Source organism: Homo sapiens, chromosome 20 (genome assembly GCF_000001405.40).
Source record: "Homo sapiens chromosome 20, GRCh38.p14 Primary Assembly".
In the NCBI taxonomy this organism is placed as follows: Eukaryota; Metazoa; Chordata; class Mammalia; order Primates; family Hominidae; genus Homo; species Homo sapiens.
This window is the reverse complement of record NC_000020.11, coordinates 33,217,310-33,234,816: the sequence shown is the minus strand read 5'-3', so window position 1 is coordinate 33,234,816 and position 17,507 is coordinate 33,217,310. Positions and strand designations below refer to the sequence as shown.

Here is a 17,507-nt window from a genome sequence, read left to right as displayed (position 1 = left end):
AACTCCTGACCTCAGGTGATCCACCTATCTCAGCCTCCCAAAGTGCTGGGATTACAGGCGTGAGCCACAGTGCCCCGCCGCTTCTCTTTTAGGTCCTGGAAAAGTCTTTCCAGGTTCCCAGGCCTGAGGGATCCTTTGGCATCCTGGTCTCTATCCTACCCTTTCTTCTACCTTTCCCTAAATGGAGTAATCAGGCATTTATTTATCCCCACCACTGGGGCCCTTGGAGTCTGTTCAGCAGATGAAAAAGTGAAGACACAGGAAGGCCAAGGTCCTGGACCAGTGAGCGCAGCTCTTACCCTGCAAAACCTAACACCTTATAAGCAAAAGTGGAGAGAGAAGGAATAAATGTGCTTTTATTAAGCACTGACTGCATGCCAGGTGCTCTCCATATTTGAACCTCATCTTCTTCAGGAGTGGTTGGTATTGTTGTCTCTCATACATTGGATGAGGAGGCTGAGGATCAGAAAGGGTGACTGCTTCCTGGGGACACACAGCGAGTGAGTGTTGGAGTCAATTGACCCTGCCACCCTCTGTGTCTGTCTGAGTCCCTGCTAATCAGTGGGCCACACTGCCTCCCTCACACTAGGCCTTCACTGGCCTGCTCCACTGCTCTCCAGAGTCTGGGTGGTGCCCCCAAGGGTTTGGGGCCATGGCTTTGAACTTAATTATCCATTCAAGGTACTTGCTGGACTCTGCCCACATCTTGTACATGGCAATCATCCTCACAGTGGTCCCATCGTATAACTCTTGTGGGTTGGGTCAGGTTGCTACTATCCTTGTGGGGAAACTGAGGCAGATAAGGCAAGGAATTAGTAGAGTTTGTGCAGCCAGTTAATGAAAGCTTACACCCTCTGGTTTGAGGCCGGGAGGCTGTGTCTGTATTGCAGCAGAAAGTGGGTGAATTTGGGCTCAAACAGCCCTGGTTCAAATCCTACGACCCTGGGCAAGTCAGTCCAGTTCCCTGAACTTCATTCAGTTTCCTCACCTGTAAAATGGGGAGCATAAAATCTGCCTCACAGGGCTATGGGGAGATGATGTCTGGGGAGCTGGTATGAATCACAGTTCATAAACTCAGGCGTCCACACATCTTTCTGATTTATCTATACTTTACCATTTCAAATGCCATTTTGCTCAGGAACAGAAATGTCCCAATTTCCCCCTGGGGTTTCATGTCTGTGCTAGGGGCTTTGTTTGTACCAAGGAGGCTGCCTGTCCCTATTTTTGGCTGGCAATATAGGAGACAGCCATGTGCCATCTGCCCCTAGATTGCAGAGACACTGTACTTCCCTCCTGGTGAAAGGTCCCTTTGGATTTAGCATTTACTTTCAACTCGTTTGTAAGACACAGAATTGTTCTGCTGTTCGCCAGTTCCTTGGGCCTGATACAGGACTGTGAGGGGCTGCCCAAGCCCTCCTGCCTGGATCCACCTAGACCCTCCCTTTACCCTTCTCTCCCTGGGGTCTCATGCCCTCTTCTGGCTCTGGGAGGGAGTGTGGACACAGACGCCCTCTGTCCCTGGATCCCATACATGTGCCTGGGATTCTGTTCCCTTCATCCCATGCTCAGGTCTGCCTGGGAGCAGCAAGGGACGGAGGCACCATCAGAACCCACCAGAACTATGCTCCTTCCAGTTCTCCTGGACCCTCACACTTCACCAACCCAACATAGGGCATTTTCTAGTTTTGTGGGCAGGAAGATTTGCTTCAACTTCATTGTGTGTATGCTGTTCTCAGACTCTCCTATGCCCTGAGTTTAACAAGTCAAAAGCCAAGACTATAAAAACAAAAAAACTTACAGTAAAATTGACTTCTTTTAGTGGTATGGTCCTTTGAGTCTTACCACATGTATAGTCAGCCACCATCATAATCAGGGTAAAGAACAGTTCCATCCCCCCAAAGGCACTCTCATGGGTCCCTTTACAGCCACACCCTGCCTTCATCTGCTGGCAACCACCTGTTTGTTCTCTGTCACTACCACTTTATCAAAAACCCAGGCTCTTGAAAGTCAAGAGCCTTGTTTCTGCTTCTGTTGAAACTGCCCTTCCTTGTGGCCACAGGGACTGCATGCTCCCTGCCCTGAACAGGGGAAAGGTCTCAGGGCACCAGGAAACAAGTGGAAGGACACACCACGAACATTTCAAGAGGTTTTCCCCACTCTGGTGATGTCAATACCCTCTCCATGTGTTTCTCAGAAACTGTAGGTGGTGCCTTTCCTTCCTGCTTCTCAGGTTGCAATTGTGTTTGGGAGCCTTTGCTCAGGTTGTTTTGTCAATCAAGAGATCCATTTCTGGCCGGGTGTGGTGGCTCACATCTGTAATCTCAGCACTTTGGGAGGCCCAGGCAGGTGGATCATTTGAGGTCGGGAGTTCAAGACCAGCCTGGCCAACATGGTGAAATCCCATCTCTACTAAAAATACAAAAATTAGCTGGGCATTAGTGGTGCGCACCTGTAAACCCAGCTACTTGGTAGGCTGAGGCAGGAGAACTGCTTGAGCCTGGGAGGCGGAGGTTGCAGTGAGCCAAGATCATGCCGCTGCATTCCAGTCTGGGTGACAGAGTGAGGCTCTGTCTCAAAAAAAAAAAAAAAAAAAAGATCCATTTCTAAAGGGCAGAATTGGTTTGATTTTTCAAAGGGCTCTGACCTATGCAAGGTCTGTTCTCCAGAATGTGAGAATGGGATGCAGGATCTCCTCCCCAGGAGAAAGGTCAGCGTGGGGACTGAGTTGCAGAGGGTCTTCAGATGGCCTTGGAAGCTCCAGAGCATTCCCAGAGAGCCAGAAACCCCAACTTAGATGAAAAAAATATATATTCTCAAGTAGGGTTTGCTTCAGGCAAGCTCCCCTTGCTTTTGAGATTAATCTTTGCACTTGCTTTTAAAGTGCAAAAAAAAAAATACTACTACTAATGATAACCTTTTGTGAGACACTAGAGCTTTATGCCACCTGTAACAAGCCTGTGGGGAAACTGAGGTTCAAGGAGGGCTGTGACCTGCACAGGGTCATCTCAGCTGGGAAGAGGTGAAGTCAGACTGTCATCTGGGGCTTCAGTGCTCTTACTTCAAGTGCAAGTTTGCATCACAGTTTTCAGTTCAGAAAGCACCTGCCCATCTTCCCTGGAGCCCTCCCGTTGGTGGAGCGCTTCCCCTGCCAACCCCCTTTCTTTTTTTTCTTTTGAGACAGTTTCGTTCTGTCGCCTAGGCTGAACTGTAGTGGCGCCATCACAGTTCACTGCAGCCTCGACCTCCCGAGCTCAGGTGATCCTCTCACTTCAGCCTTCTGGGTAGCTGGGACTACAGGTGTGCACCACTACACCGGGCTAATTTTCATGTTTTTTGTAGACACAGGGTTTTGCCATGTTGCCTAGGCTGGCCTGAACTCCTGGGCCCAATTGGTCTACCTGTCTTGGCTGCCCAAAGTGCTGGGATTACAGGTGTAAGCCACCGTGTATGGCCTTAAAAAAATTTTAATGTAGTAAGAACACTTAACATGAGATCCACAGAGTTTTTTGGTTTTTTTTTTTTTTTAACAGTTTCTTTCTTTCTTTCTTTTCTTTCTTTCTTTCTTTCTTTCTTTCTTTCTTTCTTTCTTTCTTTCTTTCTTTCTTTCTTTCCTTCCTTCCTTCCTTCCTTCCTTCCTTTCTTCCTTCCTTCCTTCCTTTCTTCCTTCCTTCCTTCTTTCTTAGTCTTGCTCTGTCTCCCAAGCAGGAGTGCAGTGGCATGATCTCGGCTCACTGTAACTTCTGCCTCTCAGGCTCAAGTGATTCCTCGTGCCTCAGCCTCCCGAGTAGCTGGGATTATGGGTGTGTGCCACCACACCCAGCTAATTTTTGTATTAATATTTTTGGTAGAGGTGGGGTTTCACCAGGTTGATCAGACTGGTCTCAAACTCCTGACCTCAGGTGATCTGCCCACCTCAGCCTCCCAAAGTGTTGGGATTACAGGCATGATCCACCACGCCTGGCCTTAACAGAGTTTTAAGTGTACAATACAGCATTGTTAACTGTAGGCACGATGTGGTATGACAGATCTCTAGAAATGCTTTGTTGCACCCCCTCTTTGAGCCTCAGTGTCCTTGCTTATGTCATGGAGCTAAGGACATCCACCTCCTAGGGCTGCAGGAGGGCTACAATTTGGGGAAACACATGTAGCTCCCAGCCCAATACCTGGCACAGAGTCAGTGCCCAGTAGTGGGAGGGCATGGAAGTTATAAAGCTCAGAGGGGCAGAGCCAGGACTGAGGTTCTGAACATTTGGGGCTGCATTTGGGCCTTAAACCATCCCCCAGTGTGAACCCCAGTATCCTAATAGAGGTCCATTGTCCAACAAGCCCTTCTGGGAGGAAATGTAATGAGTCCATGCTCCATGAACCTTAAAATGAAAACAGAATGTCAGAAACCCAAGGAGGTCCCTACAGGAAGCCCTGCGCCAGCCCAGGAAGAGTCAGGAGGAAGGCAGACAAAAGCTGCCTTCACCAGTGAACCAGGTAGCCTTGTTGGGGACCAGGCCTGGCCCTCCTGTGTTTGCTCTTTGAATCATGAGCAGGAAGAACCCCACAAGCTCACAGCTGGCAAGGAGAACACTAGCGTTTAGGGTTGCAAATCCCTGATGAAGCATTCCGGATTAGGGAGCTTGAATTGAAAGACAGAGAAGCGAGATTCTCCTGCCCTATTCTCATCTCTGAGCTGTTGACATTTCCTTATTTGAGCTTGTCAGTCCCACTGAACACATATTTCATCAGCCCCCGCTTGCGTGTGTGCATGTGTGTGTGTGTGGTGGGGTGAGGGGTGTTGGAAGGAAGGAAGGAGGATTCACAGTGGTTTAGAGTGTGGGCTCTAGAGCTGGCTGCCTGAGTGCAGTCATTGTGGCCATTTCCTTACTGTGTGACCTTAGACAAGTGACTTTATTTCTCCGAGCCTCAGGCTTCTCATGCATAAAGTGAGCTGAAATTTTGTATCTGGTGGGGTTGCTGGGAGGCATTGATAAGATGCTGGATGTAAGCTCTGAGCACCAAGAATCTCTTTATATAACAAGTGCTTAATGTGTGCTACTGTGATTAATATGTGTGTGTTATTTTCCCTTGATTTCTCAGGTTGCTTTTTCAACTCTTGGTTGGAGGAGAGTGGGAATCCATATTTAATAATTGAATAGTCAAGAGTCAAATCATTAACAATGGATTAATTGACTTTTTTTTTTTTTTTGAGACGGAGTCTCACTCTGTTGCCCAGACTGGAGTGCAGTGGAATGAACTTGGCTCACTGAACCTCTGCCTCCTGGGTTCAAGCAATTCTCCTGCCTCAGCTTCCTGAGTAGCTGGAATTACAGGCACCTGCCACCATGCCTAGCTGATTTTTGTATTTTTAGTAGAGATGGGGTTTCACTGTGTTGGCCAGGCCGGTCTCAAACTCCTGAGCTCAAATGATCCACCCACCTTGGCCTCCCAAAGTGCTGGGATTATAGGTATGAGCCACTGTGCCTGGCTGGATTAAGTGACATTTAATAAGCATTTCCCATGAACCCATCACATGTGAAATACACTGCAAATGGTTTTTCATGGCTTTACTCCTTACAAGCATCCTGCATTATAAATACATATATGGACTTTTTAGAGAGACAAGGTCTTGCTCTATCACCCAGGCTGAAGCACAGTGTTGCAATCATAGCTTATTGTAACCTTGAACTCCTAGGCTCAAGCAATCCTCCTGCCTCAGCCTCCCAAGTAGCTGGGACTACAGGTGTGTGCCACTACCTCCAGCTAATTTTTCAAGCTTTTTGTAGACATAGGGTCTTGCTGTGTTGCCTAGGCTGGTCTTGAACTCCTAGCCTCAAGCAATCCTCCAGCCTCAGCTTCCCAAAGTGTTGGCATTACAGGTGTGAGCCATCACAACCGGCCAATACTTTTATTGTCAAAATTGTTAAAGTACATTACACATAAGAAAAATGTGTATAGGTAAATAGCTCAATGAGTTTTCAGAAACCAAACATCCCTTCCCATACCCAGCACCTAGATCAGGAAACAGAATGCTATCAGCTCTCCAGAAGCCCCCTTCAATGCCCTCCTAGCATCTAACCCTTGCTCCAAGGTAACCACTATCTTATCTCTGGCGGCACGGATTAGTTTTGCTGTTTTTGGACTCACATAAATGGGAGATGCAACACATGCCCTTTTGTGTATGGCTTCTTTCATGTAACATTCTGTTTATGAGATTCATCCACGTGCTGTGTGCAATTGTAGGTCATTTCCATCACTATAGAGATTCCAGTGGGTGCCCATCCCACAAGATATCTGCCCATTCTATTTATTCATTCTTTTGATGGGCATGGGAGGATGTTGAGTTTGGGGTTATGACGAACATTGCTGCTATGAGCTTCCTTGCCTTTTGCTCCACACGTGCATGTATTTTTGTTGAGAATACACTAGGTAGTGGAATTGCTGAGTTGTAAAGTAAGCCCATGTTTAACTCTAGGAGATGCTTTATAAAGTGGTGGTAGAATTTATCTCCCACCAGCAGCATGGGATGGCTTCTGTTGCTCCACATCTTGCAAGATTTCTATTCCATTTTGCAAATGATGAAGACCGAAAGATAACAAGCTTTGTCTCAAATGCAGCTAGTGGATCCTAAGACTAGAATCCATCCACTCATTGAGCCACAGATATTTACTGAGCACTCACTCTGTGCCAGCTGTATGCTGGGGCTGGGATTCATGCGTCACCATGCTGCATGGCACCTACACCCTCATGGAACTGCCAGTTGAGCTGAATTGAAGGTGAGCTCAGATGTGTTTGTGCCCATGGTTTCACTTTTCCACTCTCTCACCCTTTCTCTACACCCTCTTGGAGCCCAGGAGTATTCTTGACACATATTAGGTGCCCAATAAATATGGAATGAAAGAATGAAAGAATGAGAAATCTCAACAGGCCCCTCCCTGCATTTTTTTTTTTTTTTGTCCTGGTATTTCTGGGCTGATGAGCAACCATAGGGATATTTGTTCTCAGGAGGATACTTCATCAGGTCTGACTTCTAGACCTAAACCCCAGGGCCCAGGTGGGAGGGACCTGTGCACCCTTCAGAGCTAGAGTTTATTGTAGGAGAGGATGGTATGTCCACAGAGCCTGGGGTAAAGTTTTTAGGGTAGCAGAAGCCCCACTCTAAGGGAGACTTAAGGTTGCAAGATGTGGACTTTCCTTCTGATCAGCAGAAGTCAGCTGGGGGACTCTCCAGCCTGGCATGCAGAGGGTTGGCTGGTTTCATGGTGGGTTGGTTCATGAGCAGCCTCCTGTTCTGTAAGGAGAAGAGGTAGCGTCTGTCACCAGTGTGCCCACCTCCCAACTCCCACACCGAAGGGAAACCCTCATCCATCCATGGTGACCAAAGGCAGGTGCCGGGAGCGTTCACGTGAAAACCCTCCCCAAATGATGCTGAATTGTTTGCTTCTTGGTGTCTTCACTTCACTAGTCTGTGAGCTCTATATGGGCAGGGACTATAACTGTTTATCTGTAACTGGAGTAGAGATGGTCTCAGGTTTGGGATGGGGCCAGTGTTCCCTACTGGATTGGGTGGAGATCTTGGAAGCAGCTCGAATCTCTGGTAACCTGATGACTTCAGTGACTTGGCAGGGCACAGCCTGCTTGGTAGGGGTACGTTCTGCTGTCCCAGCTCTCTTGGGGGACAGTGTGGTCATCATAATATGGTCACCTCTAAAGTGTTCTCACGGCACATGCAGACGCCCCTTAGCAGGCCTCCCTGGGGGCTCCAGGGCCGGGGGTACCTCTTTCAGCCACTTGCCAGTCCTAAGAAGTCCTCACTGGATGGACCAGACACTCACCTATGAGGCTTTTCAACAGTTTCACATCCAGCTGCCCGAGGATTTCACCGATCAGAGGACATACCTGGACCATCAGCACAGAGAGAAGGATCAGGCCAGGGGCTGGAAAAGGAAAACTGAAGTGACTGTGGCAGGAAACTTCAACTCCATGGGATTTTTTCCAGTAGGAATCGTGGCCAGAGCAGCTCCCTTGTAGTGAGCGCCAACTACCTGCTCAGTGTCATGCACAACACTTCGACGCTTTGTCTCCACAAATCCTCATCATATAAGATAGAGACTATGGTGGATCCCATGCTACAGGTGGGAACACTGAGGCTCAGGGAGGCAAAGTCTCTTGCTCAAGGATAGGCTGGCAAAACTCATGGCCAAACTGAAATTTTAAATTGAGATTTTTCAAGCTCTAAAATCCAATGTTTGAAATCCTTTGCTAAATTGCCAGTGGATATATGCCCTAACCCTCGGACTCAAGGATGCTCAAGATGCAAAGTTTTTTCTAAACTTACCTGACTTTCTACCATGTGTGGGAGAACTTTTTGCAGATTCTCTTTGAGGTTGTAGAGAAACTGATTCATCTTTGGTGGGATAGCCCTAGAAAGAAAGGTAGAGGCACAGAACAGAACAGAGCAATCCAGGCAATATTAAAGCCAGGAGGTATGTGTTGAGTATACTTTCCACAGTCTTTTAGTCCTCACTCAGCCCCATGCCAGAAGTATCATTGTCAGTGATCATCAAAGGGGTAGCTCAGACCTTGCCCAAGGTCACACAGCTAATAAGTGCTGGTTATATTAGAAACATGGCAATAGAGCACCAGATTCCAGAGTCTTTCCCTTACACCGTCCTCCCATGAATGTCTGGTACAATCTAGGTACTCAATGAATATCTGATGAATAAATGAACAGACATCCACTGAGGTCTTCATTGCTTTCAGCATTCCGGAATTACAGAGATAAATCAGGCACAAGTCTTGCCTTCAAGGGACTTACAGTCAGTTGAAATTGAAAGACTTGGTCAGCCAGTCTATGGAGCTTTATTAAAGCTGTATTTTGTGTCTTGTTCACCACTGTATCCCTAGCATCAGGTGTGGTGCTGGCATACAGTAGGTTTTTGGGAAATATATGAATGAATGAGTGATAAGGAGGAGCTTCATAGAAGATGGGACGGGCATTCCAGGCAAGAAGATCAGCATGTGCAAAGGCACAGTGGTGTGAAAATGTACGGTGTGTGGTGGAGGACAAAGGGCTGAAAAGTTGGCAGGGGAGAGGACAAGCAGGGCCTTGAGTGAAATTTGGGAGTTGCTGTTTACCCAGAGGGCACTGGGAACCACTGGAGGCTTTGGAGCAGGGGCTTGGGCATGGCCAGATTTCTGTGTTAGAAAGTTATTTCTGCTGCAGGATGAGGAATGGAGTGTAGGAGGGGAGATCCGGGCCAGGGAAAGCCAGGTGAGTTTCCTGTAGTGCTCCAGGTAGTGGAGTAGGAGATGGAGATAAAAGAGAGAAGCTGAGGGCTACTAGCAAGTCATTGATGGGAACTTGTGATGATGGGCTTGAGGAGTGAGGAGGGAGAAGAGTCTGGCTTCTGGGAGGGTGGTAGGGTCATCACGGATGGGAACATGGGAGGAGGAGCAGATCCCGGGGGAAGGATGAGATCTGCTTTGGACTAATTTAGGAGACGGTCAGGAAGTGACCCTGCAGCTGGGGCTCATCAGGAAGGAGGCCCAGCTCTGGGGAGGGGCAGCTGGGGTCTTACTCAGTGAGGATGGCCACATGGACACTGCTGGGCTCTGCATCGCATTTGCCTATCACCAGATCCCTCCGGCCAAACTCGTCTTTCTCCAGCCAGAACTCCACAACGATGCTCATATGTGCACACATCTTTACGATGTTGTTATCGAAGGACCTGCAGATGAGAGAGGAAGAGGAGGAAGGGCAAGGGGAGGAGGTAGAGAAAGAGTAGAAATCTCCGTATTGGCAAAGACGGGCACTGTCCACCGTTAGGGCTTCCCCTGGCACTCTGAGTCCTTTCAACAAACTAGGCCCAGTTAAATCCTGAAGTCAGTGATTAAAGAGAAAACAGCTGTAGCCAGAGTGACTCTGAAAACCCCTTAAATAGGCCTTTGGAAATTCAAACGTTGAGAGTTAATCTCTGTTTCAAAAATCTTTCCCATTTAGCTGCATCCTCCCTTTCTTGGGGGCAGTGGATGTCAAAGGATAGTTTGAACAGGAGGATGGTGAGCAGGGGCGATGAGATGATTACAGCAGTTCTCCCTTTCTCTCTTTAATCAAGCCCAGTTGTTGTGAACTCTCATAGGTTTGAATGAGCAAATGACTTCCTTCCACTGACTAATGATTGTCATCATATTTCAGGTGAAGAAACCAAGGCTCAGAGAGGTGAAGTGACTTGCCCAAGGTCACACAGCAAGTGGCTTTGGAAGCCAGGATTTGAATTTAGGTTGGGATCAGAAAGATCTGAATTTCCCAGGTTCCCTGCGAGGAGGGCCAGCACCTCTCAGATTCTGCTTCTGTATGACTCACGGTCTCAATTCAAGGTCAAATTCAAGTGAGATATTTGCCGAGAACCACTCCTTATGGAATGATATCTGGATCCCACCACAGTCCAGCTGAATGTTGGTGATGTTGATGCTGCACAAGGAAAGAGCAGAGGCCCCACAAGGGTGAGGGACTTCAGAACAGGTAAGGCTTCCTGCTGAGAAACAAGGCTGTCCGACTATAAAGAGGGCCTGGCAATGGGATTTGGACTGTGATTCTTTTACAGATGCTCTGAGGGCAAGAGTCAGGTGCGGGAGCCCTGGACTGCAAGCTGCCCCAGAGTGGCCCTAACAGTGCCACACAGTTTTGATTTGTGCAGCTGGGCCCCCACTGTTCCTTGTGTGGGCCTTCCACCTTCTCTTCTTTCAATCTTCCTACCTTCCCTCTTCACAGGCCTTGCACCTCCCCAGCCCCCCATCAGCTCTACCCTTCGATCTAGAGCTCTATAAAGAGTTCCAGGGCCACGGATAGAACTCAGGGTCTCACCTGCTCTCTTGCTGCTGCTGGTGTTTCCTGCCGCTGATTAGCCAGCCCACCAGCCCTGGGGCCACTTGTGCTGAGGCATTCAGTCTGTCCCCAAAGTGGATGTTCTGAATTCGGCTTTCTGCGTTGTGCTTTATGAGGCCCTGAGCAATAACTGGAAATGCACAAGGACCACTGACTTTGCACAGTGTCACGGAAAAGGTGGGGGGCTTGGGATTCGGAGGCCTGGGTTGCAGGCTGGTGCAAGATCTGATTGCTTAGTGAGTGGTGCATGTCACCACCTCCCCATGGAGATCTACCTTCTTCATCTATGAAATTATGCTTTGCAAGATTGATGTGAGAAATAAAGAAAAACACCTGCAGAGGGTGTGGCAGGCAACAGCTGCTCAAAGTGGGGTATTCTGGTTGAAAGTTCACCCAACACTGTATTTCAGTCTGGAGCACGGAGCTAACATACAGGATGTAGATCAGAGTCAATGTTGGTTGAAGAGAAAATTAGATGGGTAAGCCTGGAAAGAATAGATGTAAATTGCTCCACACCATGTCTAGAATAAATTGCAGGACCCAGTGGAGCTTCCACCAGAAAGGAATAAATCTCCCAAAGGAAGGAATTTTTAAAGCTATGGAGATGCTTAAGTCCTTTCTATTTTGTCTCTAGACCCTCCTGCCTGGGATGAGGACCCAGCTCTGATGAACCTCGTAGTGTACCACAGGGCACATTATTTCACTGGTTTGACCTGCCCTGAGATCAGTTCCCACACTGAGAACTCTGGGTTACTCCAGAGCAGCAGAAACCTTTGTCATACCCCATCCCCCTCCTCCAAGACAGCACCTTGGAGTTGTTTGTTTCAGCAATGTTTGTTTCTGTCGCTTACAAACAAGAATGTGTCTGGAGTAGCAGATCTTGATTCAAATCCTGGCTCTATCATCTCCCTGGGTCTTGGCTTCTTCATCTGTATAACAGGGGCAGTACCTCACAGGGTTCTTGTGAGGAATATTAAGACCATTCATTCATTCATCCAACAAATATTTATTGAGCATCTACTGGGTGTCAGGCCCCAAGCTGGTCACTGAGGGTACAAACCAGTTTTATGTCTACTAGGAGAGAAATATATTAAACAAATAGTTTCAAGGATAGAGTGAACCTATAGGTATGCCCAGAACTCTTAGTAGTTCTTGGTTCATGATTATAGTGGTGCTTGGGAATTTGTGAGCAGCAGACACCAGTGGTTGCCAGTCTAATATTCATCTATCCATCCATCCATTCATCCGCTCATCCATCCATCCATCCACTCATCCATCCATCCATCCATCCATCCATCCATCCATTCATCCGCTCATCCATCCATCCATCCACTCATCCATCCATCCATCCATCCATCCATCCATCCATCCATCCATCCATCCATCTGTCCATCTATCCATCCATTTATCCATTTATTCATTCTATTTTCCTCATCTGAACCCTGATTTTATTCAAGTACTCCCTTAAATTCCTGGTCTAGATGAGGCTGTTGATTATCTGAACCATCAGGTGTGCCTCACCCTCACTGACTCTTTTGGGTTCAAAGTTGGCACATGACCCAGTTGGCTCTATCAGACCAAACAAGAGGGGAAAATTCCTTTCTGTTTCTCCTATCGGAAAGAAGCAAGACAGCCTATAGCGCCAATGGCCATGGGCCACCATTTTCCTACCACAATGGGAACCAGCATGAGGATAAAACCATGATGATAGCAGAGCTGAGAAATAGACAAAATCTAGTCTGGAGGCAAACTTTGAACTCATGACTGAACCAAACCTGGAGCTTGTCCTATCTCTGACTTTCAGTTATGTAAAATGACAACTTTTTTTATTGTGTAAGCCAGGTTGAGTTGGGTTTTCTGTTGCCTGCAGCTAAGTACTCTAACTGATAATATAGTTTCACTGCCTTGACCCTACCTGAGATCAGGCCCTACACTGAGAACTCTGGGTTACTGCAGAGAAGCTGCTACTGGTCATAGCAATAAACATATGCATAGTCAAAGAACTTTTCACATACTTTCCAGCATTTAAGTTTGAAAAGCAGCTTCGTGAACTAACATTCTAACTGCACTTATTGTATAAATGAGGTTACCTGGGTTCAGAATTATACGCCAATATATTCAATAACCTAAATGAAAAGGATACATTTATGCCAACCACAAAATGCCAAGTTTCAATGAGGAAAAATAGAAAACATTCATAACCAAAGAAATTAAGAAATTTCTTAACAAATAAAAATGATGATTGAAGATCTCATTCTCTGAGAGCTTTTGATCTAGAAGATTTTATGCAGAGTTTTATCAAACTTTTATAAAGAGATAAATGTGAAAGAAAATTTAAAAACAGAAAGACGTTAAATTCATTCTCTGAGGTTAGTATAACTTTCCTAGCCTCAAGGACAGTACCAAGAAAAGAAAGTTACATATTAGTTTTATGTATGAAAAGTTTGCTAAGATCCTAAACAAATTATTAGCTAATGAAATCTTGGCCAGGCGCAGTGGCTCACGCCTGTAATCCCAACACTTTGGGAGGCCAAGGCGGGCGGATCACCTGAGGTCTGGAGTTTGAGACCCGCCTGGCCAACATGGTGAAACCCTGTCTCTACTAAAAATACATAAATCAGTAGGTCGTGGTAGTGGGGGCACCTGTAATCCCAGCTACTCGGGAGGCTGAGGCAGGAGAATCATTTGAACCCAGGCTGGGAGGTGGAGGTTTCAATGAGCTGAGATCCCGCCACTGTACTCCAGCCTGGGTGATAGAGCAAGACTCCATTTGAAAAAAAAAAAAAAAAAATCTAACAGTACATCATAAAAACTTTCATTTTAAAAGTGTTAGGAAGGTTCAACAGCAGAAAAATCTATTAATACAATTTATCATTTAGTAGGTTGGAGGAAAAAAGTGATTAACTTTTAGATGCAGAGAAACATTTGTTAAAGGTCAATACTGACTTATGAGTAAGAAAAATTCATAAAGCTAGGGGCATAAGGAACAGGCTTAATGTGATAAACACTATATTCCAAAAACCCACAGAAAATTTACTTGTAGGGGAATTCTGGATTAATTTCCATTCCTGTAGAAGGCTCTGGCTACAATGCAAGATAAGAAAAAGGCACAGGAAGTGTCAGGCTTAGAAGAGAAAAGATAAAGCTATTACTACTTATGGACAATATAATCCCCTAGATAGAAAAACCTACAGAATAAATAAAACAATAAAAATATAAGAGGTCAGCAAGGCTTTTGAATATCAGAAGAAGTCAACAGCTTTCCTTCCATCTGTACCTGCAATTCCAACTAGAAAATATAATAGAAGATTAGGTAGCATTTACTATGGCAATGAAAACTATAAATTCTCTGGGAATCATGTTAATAAATCATGCTCAATACATTGATAGGACTTTAAAATTCTCTTATGGGATATATAGTAAAATCTGAATAAATGGAAAGATACACTAAATTTATGATTGGGAAGTCTAAAATATCAACTCTCTTTAAATTAACAAATTCATTTTAACTCCAATCCAATTTCCAGCCTTATTTTTTTTTTTTAGATGGAGTCTTGCTCTGTCCCCCAGGCTGGAGTGCAGTGGCATGATCTCCACTCACTGCAAGCTCTGCCTCCCGGGTTCACGTCATTCTCCTACCTCAGCCTCCCGAGTAGCTGGGACTACAGGCCCTCACCACCACGCCCGGCTAATTTCTTGTATTTTTAGTAGAGATGGGATTTCACCGTGTTAGCCAGGATGGTCTCGATCTCCTGACCTTGTGATTCGCCCACCTCAGCCTCTCAAAGTGCTGGGATTACAGGCGTGAGCCACTGCGCCCGCCCTGATTTTTTTTTTTTTTTTAAGAGACAGGGTCTTTGTTGCCCAGGCTGGAGTGCAGTGGCACAATTATAACTCATTGCAGTCTCAAACTCCTGGGCACAAGTGATCCTCCCACCTCAGCCTCCCAAGTAGCTGGGACTACAGGTGTGTGCCACCATGCCTGGCTAATTTTCTAATTTTATTTTTGTAGAGACAGGATCTTGATATGCTGCCCAGGCTGGTCTTGAATTCCTAGGCTCAAGCGATTTCCCACCTCAGCCTCTTAAAGTGCTAGGGAGCCACCGTGCTCGGCCAGACGAATTTTTTAAAGGAACTCAACACACTCTAAAATTCATTTGGAAGAATATAGGTCTGTCAGATAAAACAGCATTTTACAAAGATGTTGTATTTACAATATTATGTTATTGGTGTAAAACAGATGTACAGATACAGCATAGGGAGTTCAGCAGTGAATCCTCATTTTTGGGAATTTGATCATTTAGTAGATGAGTTGGGGAAACTGAGTCATATGGAGAGAAGCGAAGCTGAATCTCTGCCTTACATACACAGGCATACATAAAGATAGCCTCCAGAGATGGGTTAAAATCTTAAATGTGAAAGGTAAAACTATAAAGCTATTAGAAAAAAACAAAGTAGAATATGTCTGAGGTAGGAGCAAGGTCTTAAGACTTTCCAAACACAAACTATAAAACAAAATATTGATGAATTTGAAAATATTCCTGTTCAGTGAAGGACCTACAAAGTTAACAGATGACAGTTTGGGAGAAATATTCACAATGCATAAATCTGACAAAGGGCTAATGTCAAGAATTAAGTAATGTCTCTTCAAGTCAAAGAGGATTAAAAAAACCCAGAAAAGCAAATTTAAAAATGGATAAAAGGTAAGAACAGGGAATTCAAAGAAGTCAAAATGGGGCTGGGCACAGTGGCTTACACTTGTAATGCCAGCACTTTGGGAGGCCGAGGTGGGTAGATCACTTGAGGTCAGGGGTTCGAGACCGCCTGGCCAACATGATGAAACCCCATCGCCACTAAATATACAAAAATTAGCCGGGCATGGTGGCATGCACCTGTAATCTCAGCTACTCAGGAGGCTGAGGCAGGAGAATTGCTTGAACCTGGGAGGTGGACGTTGCAGTGAGCCAAGATCATGCCACTGCACTGCAGCCTGGGTGACACAGTGAGACTCTGTCTCCAAGAAAAAAAGTCAAAATGGTTAACAAAAGTATAAGATGCTCAAACTTCCCACTCACCAGATAAAGTCAAGCTAAAACAAGTAGTTATCACTCAACTACACATCAAACTGGCAAAAAAAAAAAAGTAGAAAAATAGTGTCATAGATCAAATTGTGCCCTCTCCTCCCCCAGTGCGACTGTCTTTGGAGATAGGGCCTTTAAAGAGCTAATTAAGGTTAAACGAGGTCATTAGGGTATGGCCCTAAACTGATGGGATTGGTGTCCTTATAAGAAGAAACAGATCTCTTTCTCTGCATGCACAGAGAAAAGGCTGTATGGAGACATCGAGAAGGTGTCCGTCTGCAAGCCAGCAAGACAGGCCTCACCAGAAACCAACCCTATTTGCATCTTGATCTTGGACTTCCAGCCTCCAGAACTGTGAGAAAATGAATGTGTGTTGTTTAATTCCCAGTCTGTGGTGTCTTGTGAGGACAGCCCTAGCTGACTGATACAGCTCAGTACTCGGCAGTGCTGGGGAACATGGGGAGACAGGTATGCTCATTTCTTACTGGAGCACGTGTAGACCACACAGCCATTCTAGAGAGGATTCTGGCAGTTTTGGTTAAATTGAGTTCACCTCTACCCCAGGACCCAACCACTCTCCTTCTGGGTTTATCCCAGGGAAATTCTCCCACAGGCTGTAACAGGGACACTTGCAAGGAGGTTCATCTCAGTGTAGTTTATAATCATGGAGAGTTAGAGACAACCTGCATGTCCATCCAGAGGGGAGCAGCCAAATAAACTGAGGTGGATGAATCTTATGGCTCTTTCTGCACCAGCTGAAGCAACATAGATGTCAACAGCATAGTGCTGAGTGAAACCCAACACTATACAATTTATGTAAATTAAAGTACAATACAATTTATGTAAATTAAAGTACTGTACATACAAGGACACAGGCATATTTAAGTACATCCATTAAACACGCTGCAATGCCTGCCAAGGCAGTAGGGATATGGGGTGAGAATAAGTCATAAAGGGGGAAAATAAGAAAATAAAACAAAAGGGGGACCTTGCAGTGATTTGTGCCAATGAGGATGTGCTAGAAATTGGCATATGATCAACACAACCTCAATTTTCTGTACTTGAGGTCTAAGAAAAAGAGAAGAGGGAAAGTGACTAACCTGAAGTCACCCAGCGGGTTAGCAGTGGAGCCCAGATGGCACCTTCCCACCTCCCCAGCCCCGTAGGCAGCAGGCAGAGCCCGGGGCTTAGCTTACTTCTTGCCAGGGTGGATTTGTTGTCTCTGTGGGCTTGGGCCAGGCCAGGCCAAGGCTGCTTGTGTGGTGCCAAGGGCAAGGCCAGCAACCCGAGGAAGATGAGGAGCCTCCAGAGTGGACACATCATAGGGTCTGGGACCTGCAGATGTCAAGAGTGTCAGATGGGGCCTGGGCAGACGGCTTTGAGGGTGGCAGTCTGGAGGGATGGTCTAATGGTTTTCTGCAGAAAGATGACATCAGAATTAGCCCCCAGCATGCTGTGGGGAGGGGCTGCACTGGACCCTGGCGCTGCCACCAGGGCTTGCTCACATTGGGAGAGCAACATGTGGAACCCTGGGAGGAGGCCAGGGCTCC

At 46.2% G+C, this 17,507-nt stretch overlaps 1 protein-coding gene across 3 annotated transcripts, besides 1 other annotated feature; it reads right to left on the bottom strand.

Annotated features, from left to right (window-relative positions):
• Positions 1–7,010: 7,010 nt before the first annotated feature.
• On the bottom strand, positions 7,011–17,507 carry BPIFA3 (BPI fold containing family A member 3). Of its 3 annotated transcripts, none has more exons than XR_244132.4 (7): positions 17,154–17,507; positions 10,856–11,006; positions 10,355–10,462; positions 9,570–9,719; positions 8,327–8,411; positions 7,824–7,925; positions 7,011–7,279 (listed from the first exon to the last, which is right to left on the bottom strand). XR_244132.4 is itself a non-coding variant. In NM_178466.5 (7 exons), the coding sequence occupies exons 1-7, from the start codon at positions 17,278–17,280 to the stop codon at positions 7,200–7,202; spliced, it is 765 nt and encodes a 254-aa protein (NP_848561.2). In that variant the 5' UTR covers positions 17,281–17,465; the 3' UTR covers positions 7,011–7,199. The 3 variants fall into 3 exon arrangements, 2 of the variants coding, with proteins under 2 accessions (NP_848561.2, NP_001035904.1); NM_178466.5 differs by having other exon boundaries at positions 7,824–7,887; positions 17,154–17,465; NM_001042439.2 differs by lacking the exon at positions 10,355–10,462 and having other exon boundaries at positions 7,824–7,887.
• Positions 9,862–11,061: an enhancer, noted in NCBI's record as "BRD4-independent group 4 enhancer chr20:31811562-31812761 (GRCh37/hg19 assembly coordinates)". NCBI's record gives its function as "activates an origin of replication core promoter dependent on BRD2, P300/CBP, MED14 and CDK7 cofactors, and independent of BRD4, by STARR-seq in HCT116 cells {active_cell/tissue: HCT116}" and the evidence as "EXISTENCE:reporter gene assay evidence [ECO:0000049][PMID:35650434]".